General features: G+C 36.4%; 1 protein-coding gene and 1 long non-coding RNA gene across 7 annotated transcripts in view; one reads left to right on the top strand and one right to left on the bottom strand.

Annotated features, from left to right (window-relative positions):
* Window positions 1-20,306, bottom strand: part of CRYBG3 (crystallin beta-gamma domain containing 3) — a 122,974-nt gene that overhangs the window by 77,505 nt on the left and 25,163 nt on the right. For all 3 annotated transcript variants that reach the window (NM_153605.4, XM_005247117.5, XM_047447439.1), the window contains one exon: window positions 2,833-3,263. In NM_153605.4, the coding sequence (NP_705833.3) occupies window positions 2,833-3,263 (431 nt within the window). The remainder of the gene's footprint in view (window positions 1-2,832; window positions 3,264-20,306) is intronic.
* The window catches only part of LOC105373994 (uncharacterized), a 36,261-nt gene that overhangs the window by 5,775 nt on the left and 10,180 nt on the right, over window positions 1-20,306 (top strand). Inside the window, exons 1-4 of one of the 4 annotated variants that reach the window (XR_007095969.1) lie at window positions 386-427; window positions 1,960-2,087; window positions 3,404-3,544; window positions 4,603-4,682. This is a non-coding gene — a long non-coding RNA (uncharacterized LOC105373994). Of the gene's footprint in view, window positions 1-385; window positions 428-1,959; window positions 2,088-3,403; window positions 3,545-4,602; window positions 4,683-20,306 lie in introns of those variants that run through there. The other 3 variants (XR_001740811.2, XR_007095970.1, XR_007095971.1) reach the window with 3 other exon arrangements.

Below are 20,306 nucleotides of genomic sequence, written 5' to 3'. Positions count from 1 at the left end.
TACTACAAAGGTCAACCAAAGACATGTATCATTCTTCAAAGAAAATCCTGTAATAGCAGCCTGAAAGTCATAGCTAAACTTACAGCAAAAGTATCTAATTCACATTTAGGAAAATATGACAATTATCTCCCTTTTTTACTTGCTCACTCTCTTCAAAGCATAACAGGTTGCTTTCCAAATGAGGAAGATACATTTTGTGAAACTAATGAAAGACTTTACATTTAACCTTTTTAAAGTAGTAAATAATTTTTTCAAAAAAAAATCACTTGTTTCTCCTTCCCGTTAACTGTCTGCTTCTTTGCTATTCCAGAATCCCTATAAGTTTACTAAAGACAATGACAATTTCTCCATGTTGGTCAGGCTGGTCTCAAACTCTCGACCTCAGGTGATCTGCCTGCCTCGGCCTCCCAAAGTGCTGAGATTAGAGGTATGAGTCACCGCGCCTGGGCTAAATTATAATTCTTAGGCATATTGACAGTTGTCAGGAGGAAGTTGCTGAAACTGTAATTCTAAGCCTGGTAAACTGTGGGATTTTCAAAGCTAGGCCTGAAGGAAGCCGGCATCTCAGTCAAACTGGCAGTCAGGTGGTTTTTTCCTTTCCTCCTAAATCAAGAACCACCATTATTTGTTGAGGAGACTTTGGAGAATTGCCTTAAGCAATTATTCTATTTACAAGGAATTATTCTACTAACAAGTTATTATTTAGTAACAATAAATAAGAGGAAAAGTATCCTCTCTCTTTTTAATCAACTAGTACCAAAGAAAAAAAATCTGACCTAACCAATCAAAATCAAAGGAGAAAAAGTACAAACTTCCCATTCTACCCAATTACTGTAACAACCTCAAAATTATCACCATTTTAAATTACTTTAAAATGCTAGATGTCAAATGCGAGCAAGCAAAACAATCATCTAAAGAGGTTGTTAGAATATTGCTGGGCCCCACTCCTGCAGAGATTCTGCTTCAGTGGATCTGATCAGATAATGTGCATTTCTAATGAGGTCCCAGGTGATGATGCTGCTGCTGCTCCAAGGACCACACTTTGAATAGTACTGCTTTAGACAATCGTAATCCCATATTATGGATGCAGCACAATTGAGCCACTTTTCTGCTGTCGGACACTGGTTTCCAAATATATGTTCCTATAATGTTTGAATGAACACCTTTGTACGTTATCAGAAATAACCTACAAACTTAAGGCTCTTGATATATATTGCCAATTGAATTTCTAAAAAATGCTACCAATTTGTACTCCATTCCTAGCAGGGTATATGAGTGTCAGCCTTATCAACTCTGACTCACTCAGGGTATTATCATTTATTATTATTGTTATCAATTTAACAGGGGAAAAAACTCTCATTTTAGTTTGCATTTCCTTGATAATGAAAATAAATGTTTTTTCACTTATTAACAGATTAGACTTCTTTTATTTGAAAGATTTGTTTATATTGTTTGACTTTTCTATTGGTGAGTTGTTGTCTAAATTGCTTATCAAAGCATTCTCTGTCATTTTTGTGTATAATTTTCTCATTTTCCATTTAAATTTATTATTGCTTATGTTATTTGACATAAAAGAATTTGAAAATTGGGAATAAATTTTAATCTACTGATCTCTTTATTGATACCTTCCATTGCTATTATGGTTAGAAAGTCATTTCTCACCAAAATAAAAATGTACAATTTAACTTTTTTATTGTTTTTAACATTTGTTACTCTATCTTAATTTACTTTAGTACAAAGATGAGGAACACATAATGCCATCATATTCTAGGGTTCAAATTACATATAAGAGAGTATATTTCTAGGCTGCCTACTCTGCTCGATTTAAATGTCTAGCAAATATTACATCAGTATGACACTGTTTCAAATACCACAGCTGGATCAATATGTTTTAACATCAGGTTGAACAAGCCCCACAACATTATTCTTGATGGACAAACTCTAATCTAATTTTCACAGAGCTGTAAGAGAGGTCTGTGCCTAAATCACACGTTTACTACGAGGAATTAACTGAAAGCACCTACATGAAGACACCTGGAAACTATAAAGAACTTCCTGGAAACTATAAAGAACTGTATAATTATAAGGTAGTGCTTATATCTCACTATAATATTTTTGATGGCTTCTTCAAATAATAAATTCTCCAGCAGAGGTAAAAGTAAAATCAATAAAACAGAACCTTACTAGTTACAAATGAATACTTTTATGTCACACAAAATATTGAATGGACTCAACAATGTTATAAACATTCCTTAATTACAAAATATTCCTTCTACCTCATTTGAGAGTAAAAGGAAAAACAAGTGGATGTGTGTTTGTTAATCAAACAATGAAGAAAGTGGTGGTAAAATGCTCCTTCAATTCAAGCAATATTTTAGTTTCTTGGAGCTGTGTAAAGATTCATAAAGCTAGTTTCATGAACAGAGTCCATTTAATTGCTTTTCTTAATGGCTTTAATTAAATTTTACAGAACAAAGATATTGACAGAATAAGAATATAAACCTGAGGACCATTTTCCCCGAAAATGCACATATTGAATACATTGCCTGTCCTGACACAGGAAGAATCTAAGCAACAGAAAACATTACCATGCAGGGAAAAAAAGAATCTTTTACTAAGACAAATTTTGCAGGCCCTAGATTACCTGTATGGTTCTCTGTACCATGATTGATTACTTGTATGGTACAGAGAATCATACAATTTCTTACCCAGTAGTAGGGACACTACAGAATATCTTTTCCAATCCCACCAATTACTAGGATTAAAGCTAAAGCTCAAAAGCTAGGTCCAAAAAGCTCAATTTTTTTTGGTTCAATGAAATTTTAAACTTACTTTAGCAAATTAGTGGTTTCTTGGTCACTGTCTTGTGTTGTATCCAAAGAAAAAGCATCTGAGAGTTCGGATGAGTTAGAGTCTTGTTCTTCTGTTGGATGTGTCTGGGTTCTTAGGGAGCCACTGAAAATCTCTCTCTCCCTTTTGATCCCGTCTTCATGATGGTCACTGGGATTTTGTAAATCCTTCTCAGTTTTATCCTGGTCATCTTTGAAAGAAGACTGCTTAGCTTCACCTAGAGATGATTTCCCCGAGATATTGAATAAGTTACCAAGAAACTGAAAAAAGCTTTCTTTTGGCTGTCTGTCACTTTCTCCTATTTTGGTATCTGAAGTGGAACTGGAAAGATCATATGCCTTTTTGGGATCTTCCTGCACTGGAAGAGTGACTGGCTTCTCAGCATGGTTCCTTTTGTCCTCACTTTGGCGAATCTTTGAAAACAAAATAGACAATCATAAGCATCATTATTTAAATAATGAAACAGACTGATAAGCTATTATAAAACAGATTCTGTGTAGACACCAGGGATACATTTGTGAATAAGACTAATGGCTTCTGTTCCTTTGGGCAGTTCACAATCTACTGAAGAGCACAGTAAGCATGACCTTTAAAAAGCTATACGGTAAATGTCATGAGGGGAGAAGTACTGCACACATGGGAGCCCAGAGCACGAGCAACTAGTCCAGACTTGGTAGAAGTGAGAGCACAGAAGGTAACTTGGGGGATGCTTCCTAGAGGAAGTACACTCTTTAAAGAGGACAGAAAAAGTGACTATGTGATGCTCATGCATGTGTGTGTGTTTTTAGTGAGGTGTCAGCTCCTAAGGGAGTTTAATATGACTGGAGGTTAGGGTACGAAAATGACAAGAGTGAGAGGTAAATATGGAGAGAGACGTAAAGAGACCACAGTAAACCTTATGAGTATTTAAATTTAGCCTTTATTATTACAGAGATAAGGGAGAGTATTTCAAGTTCTTGGTACTTGAGATAACACCTCAACAGACCTCATCATTTCAGCATTGTGTTAACCCATAAAGCTGGCACAATATGAAACATTATTCAAGAAGATGAGGAAAAGACAGTAACATGGTACTTCAGTTCAGAGAAAGAGCCCACTTGTGACCCCTTCCTGGTAAAACAGGAAGTCCTGATACATAATGTTAATTCAAACCATGGATAGCATTGGGCATACTTGAAGACAAACAGTTGCAGAAGTCCATTTTGCCTGCTCATAGTTAAGTTACTGGTAAAGCAAACTCACATTAATGCATACTCTGTATGAGGAAAAACTGAGCTGCTATATCAGAGTATGTTGGCATTCCACTTCATGCTATTTCCAGATTCTAAAAAGCTTTAGGCCCATGAGCCAACTCACCCTGCCTTCCAAACATGCTCACTTACGTAATTGTAAAAAGAATGCCCATCCTACAGTCTCTGTCACCTATTATGCTCACTAGCCCTTATAAAAGGAAAGCTCAAGTGTGAGTCAGAAAACAATCAGGACACCAAGGCAAAACCACCTTAGGGCACTTTAGGTTCACATGACAATGTTTTATAAGAATCTGATCTTCCAGAAGGCAAGAACATCATAATTATAATGTCATTTTTTCACCTCATTCCATGTTTTGATCTAAGTTCAAATTAGTATAAAGGAGTATTTCACTAACCTTTAAAAAAGATTTAGCATATGAAAGGTTGAGAAAATGTTTAGAACTTATTAACTCAGCAAACTGATTGCAAGCAAACAATACTTTTAAATTTGTTCCCACAGGTGTCAAAGGGGATTTCTGAGTAAGCACATGGCATTGTTTGATGTGTTAGGATTTAATACATCTTGTGAGCCTCTACATTTAGAATGTCACCAGCCAGATTCTAGAGACACTGCACATCTCACCTTTCACTAGTTTCAACTACAATTTGATTCCAGTTGTCTCCACCTCACCCGTCCAACCTTCTGCTCATTCTGAGAGCTGGCACTATAAGTCACCTGTGCCCTCTCCTCATATAAACAGCATAAACAACCTCTCAGTTTGGCAGTAGAAGATATGCTAATTGACATTTTGAAAATGGTCATTTATATGAAAGATATACATTTTTTGTTAACAATTTGGTTTATTGTAACTTTTAGCCACAATATTTCTCCCCAGGTCAAAAAGAACACTGGAACATGAAAAGAACAGTAATTAATTCTTTTCTATAAGTAGTATGAAGTGGCTGCTCATCCTATGTCGCCACTTGAAGAAAGCGAACTACAGGCTGCTCATTAAAATATCATAAATATCCTTAAAATGCTTTAAAAATTTGCAAAAGAGTCTTATATAATCTGGGCAATGATTTAAAAGAAGAAAATGAACAAGATTACCACTTTTAACATCATTAAAATCTCAAAACAGTAATTTTTGTCAAAAATGTATTTATCTCCCTATTATTTTTACTTGCTCATTCTTTTCAAAGCATAACAGGTTGCTTTCCAAATGAGGAAGATACATTTTGTGAAACTAATGAAAGACTTTACATTTAACCTTTTTAAAGTAGTAAATAATTTTTTAAAAAAAAAACTTGTTTCTCCTTCCCCTTAACTGTCTGCTTCTTTGCTATTCCGGAATCCCTATAAGTTTACTAAAGAGTATTTTTTAGTTCCCTTAAATGTTTTAGTTGCTTAATTTTTCCCTCATAATCTTACGAGAAATGCGTATTCGTAATTAAAACACCTTCAACAACAAAAAGTTTCTGAATTTAGAAACAAAAAAGTAGCAGGAAAAATACACTGCTATTCAAAGTAAACACCTGCAATAAATTATGTATTTATAGAATTAAAATTTTAAGATTGATCTAAAGCAGTTGTTCTTCACCCTCAACCTGGACAAGTTCAGCCTACCTACAGGCCCTCATTATGCGGGCCCTATATCTGTCTGCCAACAGGACTGTCTACCATTGTAGCAATGAATGAGTAGAATGAAAGCACTCAGGACTCAGGCAAACATTAACAAAATGTTCATTCTAGTTGCTCTCCAAGATTTTGGTATTATGTGTATACTATATGAATGTTACTGATGAAGGCATATGTATCTTTGGAATTTTCAATGTTTTTCCCTCATGTTCAATATGTTGTAATGCAGTACTCTTAGTCCAAATGCATTTCTCTATCTACTCTCTTTGCTATGTTGGGGCCCAACGCAACAAAATACAGGAAAGCATTATGTATACTGATTAATAAGATTTAGCTGAGGTCTTCAAGGAGCTTACAAGCTAGGAACATACTCATCATTATATTAATATCACTGTAGGGGGCTTACAAGAGATATGTACACAATGGAAGACATAATTAACGAGTGGGGATGTAGAGAAACCTTCTTTGCATAGAAGATAACATTTGAGCTTAATTCGAAGAGTGTTAAGAGTATTCTAGACACAAGCCATAGTATGCACAAAGACACAGAAGTTTGAAATATGTTTACTATGGCAGGGATATGGCTGATGAAGACTGGAGCACAGAAGATAAAGAGTTTGATAAGATGACCAGTTAGAAGTGGTGGGTGAGGAATAATATGGTCACAGATAACTGAGTTCTCTAAATTAGACAACAATTTGATTAGGTAAGCCAAAAAAAATGGACATGGAGAATAGAAAGGGAGGTGAAAATTAGGGCTCTGGGTAAGTGGCAGGTAGGGCAATGAACTATTTAGTTGTCAAATGTGAAATTTTTGGTCCCTTGTGATACAAAAGTTGAGATGTCTGATAAACAGAGGCACAATTTAAGAATGTAGTTTGGCAATATACGATGTGCGCAGGAAAAAAAGAGGAAACAACAAAAGATCCCTATGGAAAAAAAAGATTACAAGTCAAAAACAATGAAAAGAAGAAACCAGTGAAAGAGATAGAGGAGGTCAAAACCAGACCAGGTTAGTCTCTATAGAATACCAGAGATCTCCAAAGAAACAAAGAACACTTCAAAAGGCAGACAGGAGTCAAGAATGCCAAATGCCACTGTGAGCTCAAGAAAGATGAGGACTATCTTCCTCACTAGTCTTCAGAAACATCAGGCACACACCCACCTTGGGAATTTTGCCTTTACTCTTCTCTCTACTTACAATATTCATCCCCCAGATACCTATATGACTCACTCTCTCTCGCCTCCTTCAGACCTTTACTTGAAAACCATCTCACCAATGAAAATTCTCTCAGCATGATCTAAAATAGCAGACCCCTCCACTGTAAAACTGCCTAACCGCTTTCTGTTTTATTTTTCTTCTTGTACTTACTATTATAGTAAATACACACACAACACACACCTACAACATTTAATATGTGTTTCCTCCTTTAGGATGTAGCATCCACAAGGCCAACGATTTTTATCTATTTTATTCACTGCAGTATCTCTACCACCTTGAAACATGCCTGATAATAAGAGGTGCTCAAATGTTTGTTAGAGTAATAAATGAAGAAATGGAAAAGCCTTAAGAATGCAGGAGAAACAGTCATAACAGTTCAAGAATTCATGTGTTCAGTCCAAAACTTGAGGTGCTAAACAGTGAGTAGCTAACAAGGAAATAGGAATAGTCATAAGTAGATGGGAAACCTTTTCAGAGATTTTTAACTAGAAGGAAGGAAAGACAAAATCCATTTTAAGTTCCAGGACAGAACTTACTGTTTTGTGAATCAGCTCTATACTTGTTGGAAAGGGAGTGACTATGGTATAAAGAGATAGATGACAGGTTCCAGAAGGAAAGGAAGGAGGTGATGATATGAAGAGAACAATATAATTTCTAATACTTATAATAAAGACAAAGTATTAGCATTGGAGAGAAGGACATCTTCTCTGCCAAGTAAAGTGGCAAGGAGAGTGGCTAAAGCCTTATAAATTCTGTAAGTGAAAAGACAATATGGCCCAACAAATGGCTCTGACCTCAGTAAAGTGAAAGGAGAGAAAAGCTGAAGGAGAGACAAAAAGGTGAAACTAGGATTTGGGTTCTCAAAATTTAGAGAATTTGAAACAATGTTTCTGGGGAATGCAGCTCCAAATGAACAGGCTAAAACTAGGTAAACAAAAAAGCAGTTAGGTTCAATGTAAACTTTAAAGTATTGATTCATTCAATAAATAATCAACAAGATACTATTATGGGCATTTAGATGCAATAGTGAAAAATGTACCAAAATCCTGGCTTTCATGGTACCTACATTCTAGTGATGTCTGAACTTTTTTGCAGGTCTAATTAGCAGTATTTTGTCACCTCCTTAAGCAGCCCGTAGCATGTGATGGGTGCTGTGGCACCTGGTATAGTAAACAAGATCAACATGTAGACAATGTTGCCCTGCCCCCTTGAGCAGTGGAACTGCTAAGCATCAAATGTGCACCCTCACCACAGGACCCAAAAACAGGCTGCCAGGAGCCTGACACTACCAGTGACTGTGCCCCTTTCATCAGTGGAGCTGAATGGCATACACACACCACTCAGAAACTGGGAACAGGACTGTTAGGTGACTACTGTCACTGACGATACTGCCCCCAGCAAAACCAAAGCCATATCACTGCTTCCACAGACCCACATAGTCTAGGCCACTGAAGCACTCACAGATGTTGATGACAGCCCAAAAAAACATATTGTGACTACACTACTTTGCCTACCTAGAACCAAATCCAAAGCCAGACACCATGTATCACATCTGTAAGAAAAAATCTTTCCCTACAAAAGCTACTCCATAAAATTGAAGAAGGTACTTATTCCACCAGATGCATAAGTAACAATGTAGGAATACAAGAAACATGAAAAAGCAAGAAATGTAACACAAAGAAATACAGTAATTCTCCAGTAACAGACAACCAAGAAAAGAAAATCTATGAAATGCTTAAAAAGGAATTCACAATAATGATCTTAAGTAAATTCAGCAAGATACGAAAAAATACAGATAGACAATTCAATAAAATAAGAAAAACTATTTATGATATGAATGATAAAGTCAACAAGATAGGTGTCATAAAAAAGAACCAAACAGAAATGTTGAAGCTGAAAAAATTCAGTGAATAAACTATACAATGGAAAGTATCAATAATAGATTAGATGAAGCAGAAAAAACTTCTGAACTTGAAGAAAGGCTTTTTAAAATGATCCAATCAGAAAATAAAAAGGAATAAGGAAAGCCTAGGAGGAAAAGAGATGGGAAAAGGCACAGAAAACCTATTTAATGAAATAATAGCTAAAAACTTTCTAAGTCTTGGAAGAATATAGACATCTAGATCCAGGAAGCTCAAAAGTCCCCAAATAGATTCAACCTCAAAAGGTCCTTTCTGAGGCACATTATAGTCATACTATCAAAAGTCAACAAATTTTCTAAAAGCAAATATTTCTAAAAATAGAGAAAAATGTCAAGTCTCATACAAAGGAATCTCCATTAGAATAACAGCATATATCTTAGCAGAAACCTTATTGGCAAGAAAAGAATAGACTGATATATTCAAGTTGCCGAAAGAAAAAAAAAAAAAAACTCAACTAAAAACATACCCAGCAAAGCTATCCCTCAGAAATGAAGGAAAAATAAAGTCCCTTCCAGACAAACAAAAACTGAGAAAATTCATCACCACTAGATAGACTTTAAAGAAATGCTTAAGGGTGCCCCACATTTGGAAGCAAAACATTATCTACTATCATAAAACTACAAAAGTATAAAGCTCACTCATAGAGAAGATACATAAATGAGATAAAGTAATCAAACCTCATCATGATAGAAAACCACCAAAGATAAACCATAAGAAAGGAACAATGTATATACGAAATGATCAGAAAATAATTTAAAAAATGACAAGAGTAAGTCCTTATTTATCAATAATAACCGTAAATGTAAATGGTTAAATTCCCCAATGAAAAGATATAGATTAGCCGAATGGATAAAAAAACAGAACTCAACTATATGCTACCTAAAAGAAACTCACTTCACATATAGAGACACATACAGAATGAAAGTAAATGGATGGAAAAAGACATTCCATACAAATGGAAGCCAAAAACCGACTACAAGTCAAAAACTGCAAAAAGAGACAAAGAAGGCCATTATATAAGGATAAAGGGACCCATTCAACAAGACGATGTAACAACTGTAAATCTACATGCACTCAAGACGGGAACACTCAGATACATAAAGCAAATAGTATTAGATCCCAATATAATAATAGCTGGGAACTTCAAAATCCCACTCTCAACTTTGGACATATCTAGACCAAAAAAAAAAAAAAAAACTTAAGGAAATCGCGGATTAAATTTCACTATAGACCTAACAAACATTTATACAACATTTCATCTAATAGCTACAGAATACACATTTTTCTCATCAGCAAATGGAATATTCTTCAGAACACATCATATTTCAGGCCACAAATTAAGTCTCAACATATTTTTTAAGAAATCAAAATCATACGAAGTATTTTTTTGACCACAATGGAATAACACTAGAAATCAATAACAAAAGAAATTTTGGAAACTGTACAAACACATGGAAATTAAACAACATGCTCCTGAATGACCGATGAAAAAAGAAGAAAATTAAAACATTTGTTTCGTCAAATGAAAGTAGAAACACAACATACACAAACCTATAGGATACAGCAAAAGCAGAAGAGGGAAACTGATAGCAACAAACATCAAAATAAAAAAATTATTTCAAATAAACAACCTAACAGTACACCTCAAGAAACTAGCAAAGCAAGAATAAGCCAACCCCCAAATTAGAAGAAAACAATAATCAGAGCAGAAATAAATGACATTCAGACTAAAGTATAATACAAAAGAGCAATGAAACATAAAGTCGGTTTTTTATAAAAACAAAATTAATAAACCATTAGTCAGACTAAGAAAAAAGAAAAGACCCAAGTAAAATCAGAATTGAAAAAGGAGACATGATGACCGATACCACCATAATACAAAGGCTTACCAGAAATTTTTGTGAATAATGATACACCAACAAACAAAAAAAACCTAGAGGAAATGAATACATTCCTGGATGTTGTGGGAAGTCAGGGACCCCAAACGGAGGGACCGGCTGAAGCCATGGCAGAAGAACGTGGATTGTGAAGATTTCATGGACATTTATTAGTTCTCCAAATTAATACTTTTATAATTTCTTATGCCTGTCTTTACTGCAATCTCTAAACATAAATTGTAAAGATTTCATAGACACTTATCACTTCCCCAATCAATACCATTGTGATTTCCTATGCCTCTCTTTACTTTAATCTCTTAATGCTGTCAGCTGATGAGGATGTATGTCGCCATCCTCATCATGTGATAATTGCATTAACTGCACAAATTGTAGAGCATGTGTGTTTAAACAATATGAAATCTGGGCACCTTGAAAAAAGAACAGGATAACAGCAATTGTTCAGGCAATAAGAGAGATAAACTTAAACTCTGACCGCTGGTGAGCTGGGCGGAACAGAGCCATATTTCTCTTCTTTCAAAAGCAAATGGGAGAAATATCGCTGAATTCTTTTTCTCAGCAAGGAACATCCCTGGTAAAGAGAATACGTGCCTGGGGGTATAGGCCTATAAATGGCCCCCTTAGGTGTGCCCGTATCTTATGGTCGAGGCTGTAGGGGTGAAATAGACCCCAGTCTCCCATAGCGCTCCCAGGCTTATTAGGAAGAGGAAATTCCCGCCTAATAAATTTTTGGTCAGACCGGTTGCTCTCAAAACCCTGTCTCCTGATAAGATGTTGTCAATGACAGTGGTGTCCGAAACTTCATTTGCAATTTTAATTTCGCCCCAGTCTTGTGGTCCTGTGATCTCGCTCTGCCTCCACTTGCCTTGTGATACTCTATTACCTTGTGAAGTACTTAATGTCTGTGACCCACACCTATTTGCACACTCCCTCCCCTTTTGAAAACCCTAACAAAAACTTGCTGGTTTTTGCAGCCTGTGGGGCATCACAGAACCTACCGACATGTGATGTCTTCCCCGGACGCCCAGCTTTAAAATTTCTCTCTTTTGTACTCTGTCCCTTTATTTCTCAAGCCAGCTGACGCTTAAGGAAAATAGAAAAGAATCTACGTGACTATCGGGGCAGGTTCCCCGATACCTGGACATATACAAGCTACCAAAATTGAAGCAAGAAGAAACAGAAAACCTGAACAGACCAATAACTAGTACCAAGGTTGAATAAGTAATAAAAAGTCTCCCAACAAAGAAAAGCCCAAGACTACACAGCCTCACTGCTGAATTCTACTAAACTGTTAAAGAACACCAATTATTCTCAAACTATTTCAAAAAATCAAAGGAGACAGAATTATTCAAAAATTCATCATGCAAGGCCATCATTACCCTGATAACAAAAGCAGACATGGACACACAAACACACACAAAAGAAAACTACAGGCCATTACCCTAGAATAACAAGATGCAAAAATCTCCAATAAAATACTAGCAAAATAAATCCAACAGCACATAAAAAAGATTATATACCATAATTAAGTTGAATTTATCCCAATGATGCAAAGACAATTCAACATATACAACACAATAAACATCACATCAACAGAATGAAGGATAAAAACCTTTTGATCATCTGAAACAGAAAAACGTTTAATAAAATTTAATATCCCTTCTTGATAAAAACTCTCAACAAATAGGTATATAAGGAATGTACCTCAATGAAATAAAGGCCATATATGACAAATCCACAGGTAACATCATAGTAAAAGTAGAAAAGTTAAAACTTTTCTGCTAAGATCTGGAACAAGATAAGGATGCCACTCTTACTACTCTTATCCAATATAGTACTGGAAGTCCTAGCCAGAGCAATCAAACAAGAGAAAGAAATTTAGGGTCCAAATTCGTATAGAGGAAGTCAAACTGTCACTGTTGGCTGATGATATGATCGTGTTTCTAGAGAACCCTGAAGACTCATCCAAAAAGCTTCTACATCTGATACATGAATTCAGTAAAATTCCAGGATAAAAAAAAATCAATGTATACAAATCAGGAGCACTGCTATACCCCAACAACGACCAAGCTGAGAAACAAATCAAGAACTCAATCCATTTTACAACAGCTGCAAAAAAAAAAAAAAATACTTAGGAGTATACCTAACAAAGGAGGTGAAAGATCTCTACAAAGAAAACTACAAAACACTGCTGAAAGAAATCATCAATGACACAAACAAATGGAAACACATCCCATGCTCATGGATGGGTAGAATTAATATTGTGAAAACGACCATACTGCCAAAAGTAATCTACAGATTCAATGCAATTCCTATCAAAATACCACCATCATTCTTCATAGAACTAGAAAAAACAATCCTAAAATTCATATGGAACAAAAAAGAGCCCACATAGCCAAAGCATAGCCAAAGCAAGACTAAGCAAAAAACAAACAAACAACAACAAAAAAACAAATCTGGAGGCATCACTTTACTTGACTTCAAACTATACTACAAGGCTATAGTTAACAAAACAGCATGGTACTGGTATAAGATAGGCATGTTGACCAAAGGAACAGAATAGAGAACCCAGAAATAAAGCCAAATACAGCCAACTGATCTTCAACAAAGCATACAAAAATAAAGTGGGGGAAAGGACAGCCTATTCAACAAATTGTGCTGGGATAACTGGCAAGCCACATGTCAAAGAATGAAACTGGATCCTCATCTCTCACCTTATACAAAAATCAACTCAAGATGGATCAAATACTTAAATCTAAGATCTGAGACCATAATAATTCTAGTAGATAAAATCCATAAGACTCTTCCAGACATTGACTTAGGCAGAGAGTTCATCACTAAGAACCCAAAAGCAAATCTAACAAAAACGTGAAAAAATGCTCAACATCACTAATTATCAGGGAAATGCAAATCAAAACCACAATTGTGATACCACGATTGTGATACCACAATATTTAAGTATGGCAAAAAATGACCATAATTAAAAAATCAAAAAATTATAGATGTTGACACGGATTCAGTGAAAGGAGAACACTTTTACACTGCTGGTGGGACTGTAAACTAGTACAATCATTATGGAAAATAGTACGGAGATTTCTTAAACAACTAAAAGTAGATCTACCATTTTATCCAGCAATCCCACAACTGGGTATCTACCCAGAGGAAAAGAAGTCATTATATGAAAAAGTCACCTGCACTCACATGTTTATAGCAGCACAATTCGCAATTGCAAAAATATGGAACCAGCCTAAATGCCCATCAACCGAGTGGATAAAGAAAACGTGTGTGTGTGTGTGTGTGTGTGTGTGTGTGTATTGTATGTGTGTGTGTGTCTGTGTGTACATATACTGTGGAATACTACTCAGCCATAAAAAGGAATGAAATAATGGCATTTGCAGCAATTTGGATGGAGTTGGAGACCATTATTCTAAGAGAAGTAACTCAGGAATGGAAAACCAAACATCATATGTTCTCACTTATGTGAAAGCTAAGCTAAAAGGATGCAAAGGCATAAGAATGATAAAAATGGACTCTGGGGACTTTGGGGGGAGGGTGGGAGGGGAATGAGGGATAAAAGACTACACATTGGGTACAGTGTACACTGCTTGGGTGATGGGTATACCAAAATCTCAGAAATCACCACTAAAGTACTTATCCATATAACCAAACACCACCTGTGCTACTAAACTATTAAAATAATTAGAAGAAATAAAAATGGGCAATTAATCTGAACAGACATTTATCAAAGATGACACACAAATAGTCAACAAGTACATGAAAAATGCTCAACATTGCTAATTATCCAGGAAATGCACTTCAAAACCACAATGCGATATCACACCCCAGTTAGAATGGCTACTATCACAAAGACAAAAAGTAACAAATGCTGGTGAGTATGTAGAGAAAAGGGAACTGTTATACACTGTTGGTGCGAATATAAACTGGTACAATCATTATGGAAAACAGTATGGAGGTTGCTCCAAAAACCAAAAATAAACTACTATGGGATCCAGCAATCCCACTTCTAAATATACATCTAAAGAAAAGGAAATCAGTATGTCAAAGAGATATCTGCACACCCATGTTTATTGCAGCACTATTTACAACAGCTAAGTATGGAATTAATCTAAGTGTCAAAAGTATATCCAGAGACAGCCTTCTCCTCTGTCCTCATTACTAACCTCGTTACAAAGGAGTTACCAACCCTCCCTGTTTCTTTTCCTTTACTCCCAATCACTTCCTAAGTCCAGACAATTGGGCTACCTCCCCAATAATCCTAACCATGACCTTTCAGGGACACCATTCTAACGACTAATCACTCCAATGGACTGTTCTTCTGTCCTGATCTTATATGATGTGTCTGCAGAATGTGAGACTGAATCTCTTCCTGAAAACCATTCTTCCTTTAGATTCCATGGCATCACTCTGAGGTTTCCCTTCTTACTCTCTGAATACTCTTCTCCATCTCTTTCACATTCACTTCTTGTAGCCATCCCTCATATAACATGCTTCTCCAATTTCCAGCCTATATCAGCTTTTCCTTCATGCTCTTATGAAATCTCTTGCCCACAGACTCAAATATTCAGATGATGATCCTCAGATTAGCTCAGACTCCTAAACTACCAACCAGACATCTATCTCCATACCTGGATGCTTCACTGGACCTCAAACTCAAAACATTCCAAACTGAACTTGGCCATGCTATGTCTCCTTTCTTCCTTCTTCTATAAAGTTTAAAATTCCCACTTGTTAAAGTCAGAGAAAACATCAGGACACCATCACCATAACTGCGCCCCCTAGAATAGTGTTATCGGTGGCCTAACCGGATTTGCTGCTTCCACATCTGTTATCCCCCACTATGTTCTCCAGACAAAAACCACAGCAATCTTCTAGAAGCCAAGTATGATCATTCTTAAATCCCTCCAATGGCTGAGCATTGCCATCAGGATAAAATCCAAGCCCCCTGGCATTGCCTTCAAGGTCTTGGTGGATATAGCCCCCATGGCTTTCTCCAATTTCATCTCTTACCACTCACAATGCTTGCAATGCCTACTGTCTTCACATGCATTACTATTCACTATCTCCTCCTTCCTCTCTCCCTCCCTACCTTTCTTTCTCTCACACTACTGTGTATCTTTGCAGAATGCTATTTCCACTGCTGGGACTTATCCCTTGCTCTCTTTGCCTGGAAAATTCCTTCTACAATTCCAGTTTTTCAGGACGGAAATTACATTTACGTTCTTCCAGTGTATATCCCTAATATCATATGTCTGCCTTGACACCACAGGGTGTAGGTAAACAATAATCTTACATACTTTCATCATGACTAGGATTATTACTGAAGTTATTAACGGTAACTAAAATTTGGCATTCATAAACTAAAACCCACTCCTTATTAAATAATTCTAGTTAATGTTCTACTAAGACATCTGGCTGCCGCGTATTACTTGGAAATTTTGCCAAAAGTTGAAATTCCACCACCAATACTTGAAATTCACAATTTTGAGAAAAATGCTTTATTAGTTTATTATTGCTGCTATCTTGAATTACAGCTTAAATGATGCTAAAATTTTTTTTTTTTTTTTTTTGGAGACAGTCTCGCTCTGTCACCCAGGCTGGAGTGCAGTGGTGCAATCTCGGCTCACCAAAACCTCCACCTCCCAGATTCAAGCCATTCTTCTGCCTCAGCCTCCCAAGTAAATGGGATTACAGGCGCACGCCCATCATGCCCAACTAATTTTTTTATTTTTAATAGAGACAGGGTTTCACCATGTTGGCCAGGCTGGTCTCCATTTCCTGATCTCAAGTGATTGACCCGCCTCAGCCTCCCAAAGTGCTGGGATTACAGGCTGATGCTAAAATCTTAAATCAAAATCAGTACCTTTATAAAGGATTTCATCGTGGTGGGTTGTCTGATTAACTCCTCAGTGAGTACTGATATATATTCATGTCATTATTTTTCAATAAATGGATTTTACAACTAAATTTGTAAAGATGAACTGTTTATACTCCTATTGTTAAAGTAATTTTGCTTCAAAGATAACATTAGATCGTTATCACAGAGTTATTCTTTTCATTAGAAAATGACAACAGGCAAGGTAGGTAGGCAACTACCTTACCTTAATGCAGCTGGTTATAGTTTAAAACAATAAGCTATTTGCAACTTTTATATCATCACACATCAGTGTTATGATCAGTTCTAGGATGTAATTAATAACTTATTACCAAGATTATTTTAAAAGCTAAAATTTTACCTTCTAAAAATGTTCTAGTATAGAATTAAAGTTATATCTGGCGTGTTACTTTCACTGTTTTCAAATCCATATAATTTTTGATAAAGATATGTAGTTATATGTACTATTTAAAGTAAGTGCCCTTAACCACAGGTGACCCAAAACAGTTACCTCTCATATGTATCAGAGAAAAAATATGCGTGAAATTGCTGATCTAAATAAGAAAAGTATGAGTTATATAGTATCAATGGGTATGCGTATGAAGGAAGGGCCGTTGATGGGCCTTAGTTCAATGGGAAGGGAGATAAAACACTAGATTCATTCCCAGGTGTCAAGATTGGGTAGTGTGGTGGTACTTCCAGAAATAGCAGGAAGCTAAAATAAAATGAGTTCAACTTTGAGTATGTCAAACTTTATACTCAGAGACATCTGAGAGGAGAGGTCCGTGAAATAGCAGGCTTTATCACCCTGAAGCTCACGATATATGCTGGGCTAAAGGAACATATATGAGCTAGTCACTAGCCAAGATGCAGGCAGAAATCAAATCAACCAGGGCAGGTATACAAAGAGAGAAGAGAAAGGAACAAGAAAAGGAATGGCAGGAAAGCCATTCCCTCCTGTTATGATATAAGTATTTCAGCAAAAGCACTGGGCCAGAATAACAAATGCTTTTGATTCTCTGAGAGCTTTCTGGCGCTCACTCTCGTGTTCCAGAATCAGTATCTGACACCTGTAAAGGCAAATTTTCTCACAAAAATCTAGAGTACATACATGTTCCTTCATATTCAGTTTCCATTTTGATAAGATATTCCATCATACCGCAATGTAGGAACATTCCAGGTATACCATAGTTGAAGTGGCTGCAAATCAAACCAGATACCTTACAACACAATCAATTCAATAACTACAAGATGTCAAGTGCCCAGACTACCATCAGCCACAATGACAGGCTTAAGCCCTGACAGTCCATTTGGTCAACTGGACAGCACAGTAACACACAGCGCATTTTCCATTTCGGGCACTCCAGTAGCACTCACTTTTTTTTTTTAGAAGCAATCAAGAGGCAAGATTTTGACTTCCAGCTAAAGTTGAATATGGTATGCCTTCTTGTATGTACCTTCTTCTCAAACGTTATGCAGAATCAATATTTCAAATATGTGCCTTCTATACTATTCACCCAGAATAAATCACCACCATTTTCAAGCAAAGATTCACAGTATTTCTAAGTTTTAGCCAGACTTTATATGGCAAGAAGGCAATCATTTTACCAAGTGCCTACTCTGTATCAGGCATTGTACAGTACTTAACATGTTATCTTAGTTAATTCTAAAACACCTCTATGAAATAAGGACCCGCCCTACTACAGATCAATAAACCAGGATTCAGAGAGGTTAAATAAATTTCCCAAAGTTACCAAGCCACCACCTGGAAGATCTAGGATTTAAGTCCAGGCATATCTGGTTACAAAGACTGTGTTCTTTCCATCATTACACATGTAATTTCAAAACTGTTCCAAGGAGGTGCCAGGAATGGCAGGGGCAGAGAACAGTGGCTGACTGTGAAGCTCCAGGCAAATCATTCCCACCATCAACAGGGAAAACTGTGCTGTAATCTATTTATACACAGGGTTGCAGGTACAATTATTGTTGGGGTGGGAGCACTGTTATGTTTGAAAAAGAGACGTATAAAAATCTGTACGTTAAACTGACATGATACTGCTGCAACTATTTGCATTGCTGAGAAAAAAAGACAGCAGACACCAGGAGCAATGGTGTATGCCTGTCTGTAGTCCCAGCTACTCAGGAGACTGAGGTGAGCGAATTGCTTGAGCCCAGGAGTTTGAGGCCAGACAGACATAGCAAGACCTGTCTGTTAGAAAACAAACAGGCTGGGTGCAGTGGCTCATGCCTGCAATCCCAGCACTTTGGGAGGCTGAGGCAGGCGGATCACGAGGACAGAAGATCGAGACCATCCTGGCTAACACGGTGAAACCTTGTCTCTACTAAAAATACAAAAAATTAGCCGAGAGTGGTGGCACGTGCCTGTAGTCCCAGCTACTCGGGAGGGTGAGGCAGGAGAATCGCTTGAACCCAGGAGGTGAAGGTTTCAGTGAGCCGAGATCGCGCCACTGCACTCACTCCAGCCTGGGTGACAGAGCGAGACTCCATCTCAAAAAAACAACAACAAACAAACAAAGATAGCAAGCATACACTAAAGCCATACATATTTTAAAAATTGGTTCAGTAATTAATTTCCCTCTAACCAAGACAACATTTAACACATTTAAATTTGACTACCATTTTACTCTCACTGAGAAAGAGTTGAAAACCTAATAAGGAAAGAGGAGCTACATAAAATCAAAATATGAACAGATGCAAATATTTAAAATATTCATCTTACTACATAATTCTGTATTCTGAATACGGGCATTAATGTAAAGAACAATTAGTGATCATTCTTCCTCAGTGAAATAGTCTTGGGCTACAATTCTTCCATTTCTACATGTCAATTATTAAACAGTGGCAACAAAAAATGCGGTTCTTTGTAATAAGTGATTTACTTATTAGAAATAAGGGTAATGTGTCATAAATATCTGATATTGATATGCAGTAAGTTAATACTTATTAATTTCATTTTATTTACAAGAATATCACAGGCATACACCAAATACTTCCTCTTAAAAGATGCTAAATCCTTCAACAAAGTTGCATGATTAGTCATGAGCAGCATTTCTAAAATGGGACCAGTGGTAGATTTCATATAAGGCAGATGCCAAGCTATGGAGAATATGCATAATAATCATTGATGTATTGAGGCCTGGGTTGGAGAATCTATAACCTGCGGTCCAGATATAATAATCTTATTTAGCTCATGGTTCATTTCTGGAAAAAGACTTACTGCCACTGTTATTTTTATGTTTTAATAGGATTTCTTTTTGATAAATGAAGTTTATGAATATAGCTTAAAAATTCAGTACACGAATAGGAAGAATCATGGTACATAACTGCCTCTGAATTCTCTTGCCTCTGTTCATTATCAGTGGGAGTTGTGTCAAGTGACTTAATTTGAGATTTGCTTTTTTCAACTACACACAAAGGGATACAAATTCTGTTTAACACTGTGGATAGAACATACACATTGATTTTTTCCTTTTGAACAAAATACTCTAAAATGACAGCAAAAGAGTATTTTTGTTGTTGTTGTTTTTAGTTATAAGTACAAAGACAGGAAGAGAACAGATATAACTGGTGATACAGTTTGGATGTTTGTACCCTCACACTGAAATATAATCCCTGATGTTGGAGGTGGGGCC

The sequence above is a fragment of the Homo sapiens genome, chromosome 3 (assembly GCF_000001405.40).
Source record: "Homo sapiens chromosome 3, GRCh38.p14 Primary Assembly".
Classification (NCBI taxonomy): domain Eukaryota; kingdom Metazoa; phylum Chordata; class Mammalia; order Primates; family Hominidae; genus Homo; species Homo sapiens.
This window is presented reverse-complemented; position numbering and strand designations above follow the sequence as displayed.